Genomic DNA, 12,467 nt, shown 5'->3' on the forward strand with positions numbered 1-12,467 from the left:
TTTTTTAGCAGATAAGTCTTTGCAAATCATATGCATTACAGAGGTTTTGTTCTCATTCTCACTCCTAGGGAAACACAAAAAGAGATGGAGCAGTAAACAGAGAATCAAAGGGATCTGGGGGAGGTAAAGTCTGCTTGCTGTTGCCACGGAAGCAGACCTAACAAAGAAGTTAGGACAAACGGCTTCTGCTGTGTGAGGTGGGGGTCCACTTCCTCTGTACTGGCTGGGCATCATTAGTTAGTAGAGATATAAAAAAATATGCTGAATGCAGACCAGAAATGATTCAATAAGTCCATGAAAGAAATATTTATTACACACCTACCATATGCCAAGCATGTGTAGGAATACAATGGCAAATATGTCATGGTCCTTGTCTTCAAGGAGTTCTGAAACCAAAGAAGTCACATAGGGAAATACGCACCCCTGGGTGAAAAGTGCCACAGGAGTACCAGGCAACACAGGGAAGGGAATGGCTAATTCCGTTGTGGGTTACTGGGGCCACCTCACAGAGGAAGTGACATTGAGGCTGGGCCTTGAAGTAAGTTTTAGCCTAATTACAAAGGGCTTCGAAGGCATAGAGAGCCATATGACAAACTTGTGAACACTCATTATCAGAGGTGGCTGGACTTGAGTGGGGGAAAGGTGAAAACGAAGAGAAACTAGTATTGGGCCAGAGTGAGAAAAATCTGGCACTGTTACAAGTCATCACTTTACTTAAAATAAAAATATTTATTTTCCCCAGGATTCAGGGGTGTGTGGTTCTCAGGAGACTATTTAGCCAATGATTGGACAGACATTCAGTAATCATGAAAAACAAGCTGTTATTTTAGATATTAATAGTTAACAGGTAAGAAGTTCTATTTACAAGCATTTTTAATTTGTCTTAAAAAATAATTTTAGAATTTCTATAAATCACCCATTTTTAGTTATGTAAGGCATAAAAGTATTTTTTAAAATTGAATATGCTTCCAATATGCCACAGGAATAGGTTTGATTTGACAAACAGATTTGTCAAGTAGACAAAGGACAAATATTTTCATTTTATACTAACAATTTATGCTGTAAATATATCCATTATTGTGTTCATAACTATGTGTTGCTCTCTCAAGGCACTGGTCTTGTTAAGCATAGGGAAAAAACAAGATTAATTGTGTTTACAATAAAATACATGAATAAATAAATAAAATATTTGAAAGTTTTATGGATAACTATTACATTCTGATTAAAAGGTATATGTTGAGCTGTCTATAGGAAGTTAAAGTAAAGGAGACTACACTGTGGTATGTGGGATGTGAGAGTGTGTGTATATAGAAAAGGGAGGAAGTTGGACAGAGATACATTAAGAAGAGAGGCTGGGAATAGTTTCTGGGACATTATTTTGTGCAAGCAAATGACAATTAAAAAGTTAAACAAAGAAAGATATCAAAGAGTGAAGATTTTATGAGTTACATAAATGAAGAAAGGAAAGAAAATTTTAGTACTTTAGGAAAGAATGCAATTAAATATACATGAAGCATGCATAAGTGTGTGTCTATAGTACATGCAGTACACAAAATATACATTACTGAATGTGTGTGCCTATGCAATAATTATTTATTAAGCACTTGCTATGTGCCAGGAACACACAAGGCTATTTCTTCCTTTCTTGGCATTTTTACTGGATTTCTATGCATTTGACAAAGAAAAGCTGTAGAATTTTCTACAATGATTTGAACTTTCTTCCACTATATAATAATTGCATGGGGGTATATTTTTAAATATATCAAGTCAGAGCCGAGGTGTAACTATGGGTGAGTTTTCCCAAAATAACCAATCGCTGTCAATTTTGTGAGTGCGTAGTGCCTTTTTCTTTTTTTTGTCTCAGTCCAGAGCACTCTCTCAGAATTTAATTCTGAATAATGCCGTGTTATTTATTTATTCATTTTTAAGTTTCTACTAGACCTCAGGTTTTGTGAATTGAGTTGAGTACACTCCTCAGTTCATGGCTCCCTATGATTGTTGTCTTATTCGGGGACCTTTTAAATTTTTATTCAGTTTTTCCCTTTATCCCCTCTCGATCCTTCTCCCTTGCCTGTAGGTTCCTACTCCTGTGTTTTTAATGTATGTCCTTTTCATTCACTTTCCATAAATTTATTACATAGAGGGGGTCTAGGTTGGAGGAGCTGAACTGTAACCTCAAAGGAGGTCAGAACTGTGGACTCGCTGCCTTTTATCCCTTTTGAGGCTGGAGGATCAAAGGTTAGAGATAAAATTGTTTAGAGGAGTATCAAATGTTAGAGATAAAGGTGCTTTAGACACTCTCAGCCCTATCTATATAGATTCCACCATCACCCAATAAGACAGCTGGGGTGGGATTGGGGTCAGGCCAGTGGAAAGGGGGTTGCAGTTTCACTTTGAAGCAAAAGGTTTGGTAATTGGCAATATTCTTATTTCTAGATATCTTCCCAGATTGTTATCATAATGGTCCCTGTTGGATGGGATGAAATAAACTTTTTTTTATTAATACATAATATTTACACATATTTATGGGGTACATGTGATATGTTCCAGCATGCATACAATGTGTAATGATCAAATTTGGGTATCTAGAACATCCATTACCTCCAACATTTGTCATTTCTTTGTGTTGGGAACATTTCAAGTCTTCTTTTCTAGCTACTATGAAATATACAATATACTATTTTCACCTATTGGCACTCCACTGTGCTATCAAACACTAGAACTTTCCTTCTATCTAACTGTATGTTTGTATCTCTTAACCAATCTTTCTTAATCTCCCTCCACCCCCCTACTCCCCAACCCCCGCCCTCATCCCCCCAACCCCTGCTCCGCTTCCTAGCCTCTAGTATCTATCATTTTACTCTGTACCTCCATGAGACCAAATCAACTCTTTTAGCTCTCATATATGAGCAAGAACATGCAATATTTGTCTTTCTGTGCCTGGTTTATTTTGTTTAACATACTAACATCCAGCTGTATCCATGATGCTGTAAATGACATGATTTCATTCTTTTTTGTGGCTAAATAGTATTCAATTGTGCATACATACCACTTTTTTTATCCATTCATTCACTGATGAACATTTAGGCTGATTTCATATTTTGGCTACTGGGAATAGTGCTGCAATAAACATCGGGGTGCAGATAATTTTTTAATATACTGATTTCCTTTCCTTTGGATAAATAACCAGTAGGAGTATTGCTGGATTGTATTGCAGTAGAGGATTGCTCTATTTTTAATATTTGAGAAATCTCCATACTGTTTTCCATAGTGGCTGTACTAATTTACATTCCCATCAACAGTGTATAAGGTTTCTCTTTTCTCCACATCCTTGCCAGCATCAGCTATTTCTTGTCTTTTTAATAATAGCTATTCTAACTGAGGTAAGATGATATGTCATTGTGGTTTGAATTTGCATTTCCCTGATGATTATTCATACTGAAAATTTTTCATATATCGGTTGACCATTTATTTTATTTCTTGGAGAAATATCTATTCATGTCCTTTACTGTTTAGTGGAACTATTTTTTTTAAACTGTTGAGTTGTTTCGGTTGCCAAATGAATAGTTTGTGAATATTTTTTCCCAATCAACAGATTGTCTCTTCACTCTGCTGGTTGTTTCCTTTGCTGTGCAGATGCTTTTTCAGTTAACATAGTCCCATTGTCTATTTTTGGTTTTGTTGCCTATGCTTTTGAGGTATTAGCCATAAAATCTTTGCCTAGACCAATGTCTTGAAGTGTTTCCCCTGTGTTTCTTCTTGTAGTTTTATAGTTTTGGATCTTAAGTGTAAGTCTTTAATTCACTTAATGTTGATTTTTTTAATATGGTGAGATATAGGGGTCTAGTTTCATTCTTCTGCATATAGATATCCAATTTTCCCAGCACCTTATTGAAGAGGGTCACATTTCCCCAATGTACATTCTTGTTGCCTTTGTAAAGAATCAGTTGGCTAAAAATATGTGGATTTACTTCTGGGATCTCTATTCTGTTTCACTGATCTATGTGTCTGTTTTCGTACTAATACCATGCTGTTTTGGTTGCTATGTCTTTGTAATACATTTTGAAGTCAGGTGGTGTGATGCCTTCAACTTTGTTCTTTATGTTCAGAATTGCTTTGGCTATTCAGGCTCTTTTTTTTGGTTCCATACACATTTTAAAATTATTTTTTCTATTTCTATGAAAAAATGGCATTGGTATTTTGATAGGGATTACATTGAATCTGTAGATTGCTTTGGGTAGTATGGACATTTTAACAATATTAATTATTCTGACCCATGAGCATAAGATGTTTTTTCATTTGTTTGTGTCCCCTTCAATTTATTTCATCAGTGTTTTGTAATTTTCCTCTTAGAAATCTTTCATCTCTTTGGTTAAATTTATTCCTTGGTATTTTAAAAAAGCTATTGTAAATGAGATTGCCTTTTTTATTTCTTTCTCAGCTAGTTCATTATTGGTGTATAGAAATGCTACTGATTTTTGTATGTTGATTTTGTACCCCGAAACTTTACAGAATTTATTTATCAGATCTAAAAGTCTTTAGGTTTTTCTGAATGTAAGATCACATTATCTGCAAACAGGGACAATTTGACTTCTCTTTTTCCAACCTACATGTCTTTTGCTTCTTTCTCTTGCCTTAACTGCTCTGGCTAGGACTTTCAGTACTATGTTGCATAGGAGTAGTGAAAGTAAGCATCCTTGTCTTGTTCCAGTTCTTAGAGGAAAGGTTTTCAGCTTTTCCTCATTTAGTATGATGTTACCTGTGGGATTGTCATATATGGCCTTTATTGTGTTGAGGTGTGCTTATTCTATGCCTAGTTTGTTGAGAGTTTTTATAATGCAGGGATCTTGGATTTTATCAAATGTTTTTCAACATCTACTGAGATGATCATATGGAGGCTTTTGTCCTTCATTCTGTTTATGTACTGTATCACATTAATCGATTTGCATATGTTGAACCATCCTTGCATCCATAGAATAAACCCCATTTGATCATGGTGTACTATCTTTTTCATATGCTGTTGGATTTGGTTTGCTGGGGATTTTCACCCGTATGTTTATCAGGGATATTGGCCTATAGTTTTCTTTTTGTTGTGCCCCTGGCTGGTTTTGGTGTCAGGATAATGCTGGCCTCATAGAATAAGTTAGGGAAAATTCCCTCCTTTTAAATTTGTTTTGAATACCTTGAAGAGAATTGGTATTAGTTCTTCCTTTAAAGTTTGGCAGAATTCAGTGGTGAAGGCATCCAGTCCTGGGCTTTTTCTTTTTGGGGAGACTTTTTATTACTGATTTCAATGCTTGTTATTGGTCTATTTAGGGTTTCTATTTCTTTCTGATTCAATCTTGGCAGGTTGTATCTGTCTAGGAATTTACGAATTTCCTCTAGGTTTTCCAGTTTTTTAGTGTATAGTTGTTTATAACAGTCTCTGATGATCTTTTGTAGTTCTGTGATATCATCAGTTGTAATGTCTCCTTTTTCATTTCTGATTTTGTTTGAGTCTTCTGTTTTCTTGGTTAGTCTAACTAGCAGTTTATTGATTTTGTTTATCTTTTCAAAAAACAGCTTTTTGTTTCATTAATTTTTGTATTTTTTTTTTTAGTCTCTATTTCATTTAGTTCTGCTCTTTATTCTTTCTTTCCATCTACTGATTTTGGGTTTGATTTGTTCTTGCTTTTCTAGTACCTTGAAGTGCATGGTTAGATTGTTTATTTGAACTCTTTCTACTTTTTTGATGTAGGCATTTATTACTATAAACTTCTCTCTTAGCATTGCTTTTGCTGTGTTCCATACGTTTTGGTATGTTGTGCTTAAATTTTCATATATTTCAAGAAATTTTGTGATTTCCTCCCCAGTTTCTTCCTTGAACCAATGGTCATTCAGGAGCATGTTGTTTTGTTTCCATTTGTTTGTACAGTTTCCAAAGTTCCTTTTGTTATTAATTTATAGTTTTACTCTACTGTGGTACAGGCTGGTCTCGAACTCCTGAGCTCATGTGATCTGCCCACCTTGGCCTCCCAAAGTGCTGAGATTATAGGCATGAACCACCACGCCCAGCCAGATTTGCATTTCTCTAATGATCAATGATGTTGAGCTTTCTTTCATATGCTCGTTGGATGCATGTCTGTCTTCTTTTGAAAAGTGTCTGTTCCTGTCCTTTGCCCACTTTTCAATGGGGTTTTTTGTTTTTTTCTTGTAAATTTGTTTAAGCTCCTTATAGATTCTGGATATTAGACCTTTGTCAGATGCATAGTTTGCAAAAATTTTCTCCCATTCTGTAGGTTGTCTGTTTATTGATAGTTTCTTTTGCTGTGCAGAATCTCTTTAGTTTAATTAGGCCCCATTTGTCAATTTTTTCTGCAGAGTAAACATTGCTCTTATCAGCACATGGAGCATTCTCCAGGATAAACCATAAGTCAGGACACAAAATGAGTTTCAACAAATTTTAAAATATTGAAATCACAGCCAGGCGTGGTGGCTCACGCCTGTAATCACAGCACTTTGGGAGGCTGAGGTGGGCAGATTACCTGAGGTCAGCAGTTTGAGAACAGCCTGGCCAACATGGTGAAACCCCGTCTCTACTAAAAATACAAAAATTAGCCGGGCATGGTGGTGGGTGCCTGTAATCCCAGCTACTCGAGAGGCTGAGGCAGGAGAATCACTTGAACTTGGGGCTTCATACATCATTGGTGGGAGTGTAAATTAGTTCAACCATTGTGGAAAGCATTGTGGCAATTCCTCAAAGAGCTAAAAACAGAACTACTATTAAATCCAGCAATCTCATTACTGGGTATAAAGCCAAAGGAATATAAATCATTCTATCATAAAGACATATGCATGCATAGGTTCACTGCAGCACTATTCACAATAGCAAAGACATGGAATCAACCTAATGCCTATCAAGAATACATTAGATAAAGAAAATGTGGTACATATGCACCTGGAATACTATGCAGCCATAAAAAAGAATGAGATTGTATCCTTTGCAGGAACATGGATGGAGCTGGAAGCTCCAGGAACTTCCAGCAAACTAACAGGAACAGAAAATCAAATACCACATATTCTAACTTATAAGTGGGAGCTAAATGATGAGAACACATGGAAACATAGAGGGGAACAACAGACACTGTGCCTACTGGAGGGTGGAGGATGGGAGTAGGGAGGGGATCAGGAAAAATAACTAATGGGTACTAGCCTTAATACCTGGGTGACAAAATAATCTGTATAACAAACCCCCATGACACAGTTTTACCTATGTAACAAACCTGCATATGTACCCCTGCCCTTAAAAGTTAAAAAAATGTGTAATTGTCTGTTAGGTCCATTTGGCTTAAAGTGCAGTTTAAATCCAGTGTTTCTTCACTGATTTTCTGTCCAGATGATCTGTCCAATACTGAGAGTAGACCGTTGAAATTGACAACTATTACCACATTAGAGTCTATCTCTCCCTTTAGATCTAATAATATTTGCTTTATATATCTGGGTGCTCTGGTGTCATATATATTTAGAATGGTCTTTTTTTTTTTTACTGTTTTTTTTTAACATGTTCTGTGGAATAGTCAATCTGTTTACTGTTTTGACTTAAAGTCTGTTTTATCTGATATAAGTATAGGTATTCTTGCTTGCTTTTGGTTTCTGAAGGGGTGGGTTGCCCCTCCACACCTGTGGGTGTTTCTCGTTAGGTGGAACGAGAGACTTGGAAAAGAAAAAGACACAGAGACAAAGTATAGAGAAAGAAATAAGGGGGCCCAGGGGACCAGCATTCAGCATACGGAGGATCCCGCCAGCCTCTGAGTTCCCTTAGTATTTATTGATCATTCTTGGGTGTTTCTCGGAGAGGGGGATGTGGCAGGGTCATAGGATAATAGTGGAGAGAAGGTCAGCAGATAAACACGTGAACAAAGGTCGCTGCATCATAGACAAGGTAAAGAATTAAGGGCTGTGCTTTAGATATGCATACACATAAACATCTCAATGCCTTACAGAGCAGTATTGTTGCCCACATGTCCCACCTCTAGCCCTAAGGCTGTTTTCCCCTATCTCAGTAGATGGAACATACAATCAGGTTTTATACCGAGACATTCCATTGCCCAGGGACGGGCAGGAGAAGATGCCTTCCTCTTGTCTCAGCTGCAAAGAGGCCTTCCTTCCTCTTATACTAATCCTCCTCAGCACAGTCCCTTTACGGGTGTCAGGCTGGGGGACGGTCAGTTCTTTCCCTTCCCACAAGGCCATATTTCAGACTATCACATGGGGAGAAACCTTGGACAATACCTGGCTTTCCTTGGCAGAGGTCCCTGCGGACTTCCACAGTGTTTGTGTCCCTGGGTACTTGAGATTAGGGAGTGGTGATGACTCTTAACAAGCATGCTGCCTTCAAGCATTTGTTTAACAAAGCACATTTTACACAGCCCTTAATCCATTTAACCTTGAGTGGACACAGCACATGTTTCAGGGAACACAGGGTTGGGGGTAAGGTTATAGATTAACAGCATCTCAAGGCAGAAGAATTTTTTTTAGTACAGAACAAAATGGAGTCTCCTATGTCTACTTCTTTCTACACACAGTAACAATCTGATCTCTCTTTTCCCCACAGGTTTCCATTTACTTGGGATATATTTTCCTATCCCTTTACTTTCAGTCAGTATATATCTTTACAGGTGACATGCGTTTCTTGTAGGCAACATATGATTGGGTCATGAATTTTTACTCATTCATGGCAAGTTTTATCTTTCAATTTGTTAATTTAATCCATTTACATTTATGGTTATTATTGGCAGATAATGACTATCTCTGTCATTTTAATGATTGTTTTCTTACTGATTTGTATATCCTTTGTTTCTTTTTTTCTCTTATTGTTTGTCACTGTGGCTTGGTGGTTTTCCTGAGTGGTAACATTTGAGTCCTTTTTCTCATTTATGTGTCTGCTTTACCAGTGAATTTTATAATTTTGTGTTTTCATGATGATAGATATTGTTCTTTCATTTCCAGATGTAGAGCTCCCTTAAGCAGAAGATGAACTTTTATAGATTAGTATTTAATAAGACTCAAAGCTTGACTAAAGGCATGTGATCACCCCATAATCTGTGTAACATGAGCCTATGATCTCCTGGGCTTACTTGTGTATCTGCAACACATGTCTACTGAGATCCTTTCTAGAGAAGTTCTAAAGGACTATCACATTATTACTTCACATGTGTGGTGTCCTTACACTGCATATAACAGCTAGAACATGCACTGGATGAGATGGAAACAGAAGCAGAATGGGGGTAGGGCTGAGCAAGGCATAGTCTTTAAGTTCTGACTCAGTCAATTTTTTATCGAGTCATTTTTTAATCTGAGTTTTCAGCTCTATCAACATTCCAGGGGGCTTTGGGGACAGCCACTTTGACTCTTGGAAACTAGGCTGAGAGTGTGGTTGCTGTGGCAGCTGCTGTTGGAGTGTGACTGGATGGAGCACAGTCTCAGCTGTACTTGTGGTGACAGGGAGACAATCATGGCTCCCACCCACCTCCCTATACTGACTGCTCCCTACTCACTGAGCATACTAACAAAAAACCTTACATCAAAGCCTCCTGGAATAGGTGAGGGAGATGGAAGAAGCCACAGGAGGAGAGGGTAAAGAAGGGAGTAAGGTGGGTTTACATCTTACCTGCAAAATGTTACATGTGCTGCAATATCCAGTGCTGTTTCTGGCACTGAACCTACAAGTAGCCCATGCCTACAGACTAAATAGGCATCTATGAGAATAAATACAGAAGTGACTTGGGCAGGATGGTGCTCTTTGGAACCTTTCCATATATATATATATATATATGTATATATATATATATATATATTTTTTTTTTTTTTTTTTTTTTTTTGAGACAGGGTCTCCCTGTGGTGTCCGGGCTGGTCTCGAACACCTGGGCTCAAAGGATCCTCCTGCCTCAGCCTCCAAAAGTGCTAGAATTACAGGTGTGAGCCACCACACCCATCCTTCCATAATTTCTTGTTGTTCAGAGTCATGTAATGCTGGGTAGGGGCCCAGCTTTGCCCTCTTGGGGTACCTCCGACTGTCCTACAGAACTTAGTAACCATCTATGGCCTGCTACATGCAAGGTCCTCTCTGTACCACAAGACTCATATCAGATCACAGTAAACGCCTTCCTGGCCTGAAACAACAGCTCAGAACATTTTTCCATTTTATTCACTGAGGAGCACTTTTTATCAACTATGCAATTAAGTGCACCTTTGTTTTTATTTTTATTTTTTTATTATACTTTAAATTCTGGGGTACATGTGCAGAACGTGCAGTTTTGTTACATAGGTATACACATGCCATGGTGGTTTGCTGCACCTATCAACCTGTCACCTACATTAGGCATTTCTCCTAATGCTATCCCTCCCCTAGGCCCCCACCCCCTGAAAGGCCCCAGAGTGTGATGTTCCCCTCCCTGTGTCCATGTGTTCTCGTTGTTCATCTCTCACTTATGAGTGAGAACATGCTGAAGTGCACCTTTATTTTTAAATCATTTTTAGAATTTCACATGCAAAATCCACTGACCTAGATTAATGTTACCAAATCCCACCTCTTCTGTTTACAAGCTATGGGACTGTGAGCAGGTCACTTAACTTAGCTAAGCCTCAGTTTCCTCATTTGTAAAATGCAAATATTTATAATATTAGTCAACCTACCTTAGAAGGTTGTTGTGAGGATTAAATGAAATTATTCAAGTGACATACTCAGTACTGGGCCTGATACATTCATTGCTTAATAAATGTTACCTCCCATTATGATTTTCACTCACAGCTGTTTGATGCTTTAAAACAGATGACACACTTGACACATGATTTTTCTGTCAGAGTGGTTGCTATTATGGGCAATCTTGTGAATGTCCTGTGCAGAAAGGTGTTGTAATCAGCTGGACCACAAGGAAAATCAACCAATCAGAACTCAGTAAGACCTTTCTTATAGGAAAGTGTGCCCAGATGTGTGGGCTCACACCAGCAATAGAATGCCATAGCTGAATAGTGGTAGTTGATAGGACATTTCTAAAAATGGCACCAAGTAATTGAAAAACAAATGACCCATCAATGGCAAACAATTGCAAAATATTTTTTAACTTATTGCAGAAATATCTGCAAGTGGGAGTAGGTGGAACATGTACATACAACCTAAACCAGCGTATTTGAAGGCACAAAGGTGGCACCCAGGGGAAAGCTCTTGTTTCAGGAGGGATTTCTGCTGAGAACCCCTGCTCTCTACAGCCTCATACTGGGTGAGACCAAAGGGCTGCCAGCATTGCTCTGACACGCACCTGGGGATGTTTCTCGTGCTGTCCCATGCAAGCACGTCTTCTTTGAAGCTTGTAAACATTTTCTAGGAGGCTGGCCCTCTCTTGCTTGAGTAAGAAGAGCAAGCATGTTTTCTGCTGCCTGTCCAAAGAGAAATATCAGCTTCAGGGGTAGAAAAAAAAAGGAAAAATGGGTCAAGTGTTAACAGGCCCCACAGCTTCTTAGGCTGGAGGGGCTAGTAGGATTTGGGCTATCTCGGGATCCTGCTATCACACATCCTGGCTCCTGTATTACTTCATTATACTACTAAGTTTGAAGACGGGAGTAAGAAGCAGTTGGGAACAGAAGAAGCAGAAGTAACTTCCATTTGCATGGCTTTTTGCAATTTATAAAGATTCCATAAGCATGTCCTCATTTGAACCTCCCAACAACCCTGGGAGCTGGGGAGACATGATCATTCCCACTAAACAAATGAAGAAACTGAACTCAGATGAAGTGACCTGCTCCATGGAAGATCTGGGTTCATAGCCTGGTCTTGCCACAATTTTTGTATAGCCAGAGGCAAGTCTTTAGTGTCTGTCTCCTCCTCTATAAAGTGTGCACCTTCGATTAGTTCACCTTAAATGATCTTTTCAGCTCTTATATTCTCCAATTCAACAAATTAAGTAAATAGACCCTTCCCAGCATACAAATCATGCTCAGTGAATGCCCATTCCACACAAATGACCATTCCAGCCAAGGACTCGCATCCCTGAAGCAAGGAAGCATTCAAACTCTCCTCTCCTCCTTGCTGCTGGGGACACTTAGGCACCCACTTCAAACACTAGACACTTCAGGAACTCTCCTTCCCTGCCATTTATACTGGCTGAGGGCACATTCTGCCACTACATGGGCCCTGTGCAGGGGAGAGGACCTTCAAGCGTGTGGCCAGGGCTGTACTTGGAGGAAATGGCATTCATACTGGAATGCAAAATGACTTTTTCTGTTGGAATCAGATTTTAAAAGCTTCTTGAGTTCTATAATGTTAAGATACTATAGTTAGTTACATTATGAATTAAATTGGCTCCTCTGGAATAGACTGGAAACCTCACTTTCCTATTCATAGGTTTCTCCAAAGTAAACATTTTAAGTTTCCTGTGGTTCAGGAGCACAATCTGTCTGTCTACTGCACATTATCCTGACTTCTACTTAAC

At 38.4% G+C, this 12,467-nt stretch overlaps 2 long non-coding RNA genes across 2 annotated transcripts in view; one reads left to right on the forward strand and one right to left on the reverse strand.

The window, feature by feature from the left end:
* The window catches only part of LOC105371230 (uncharacterized), a 40,010-nt gene that overhangs the window by 26,143 nt on the left and 1,400 nt on the right, over nucleotides 1–12,467 (reverse strand). Inside the window, exon 2 of the long non-coding RNA XR_922077.4 lies at nucleotides 11,298–11,415. This is a non-coding gene — a long non-coding RNA (uncharacterized LOC105371230). The remainder of the gene's footprint in view (nucleotides 1–11,297; nucleotides 11,416–12,467) is intronic.
* The window catches only part of LOC102723321 (uncharacterized), an 88,963-nt gene that overhangs the window by 25,481 nt on the left and 51,015 nt on the right, over nucleotides 1–12,467 (forward strand). The window lies entirely within an intron of this gene.

This window comes from Homo sapiens, chromosome 1 (assembly GCF_000001405.40).
Source record: "Homo sapiens chromosome 1, GRCh38.p14 Primary Assembly".
Lineage (NCBI taxonomy): Eukaryota > Metazoa > Chordata > Mammalia > Primates > Hominidae > Homo > Homo sapiens.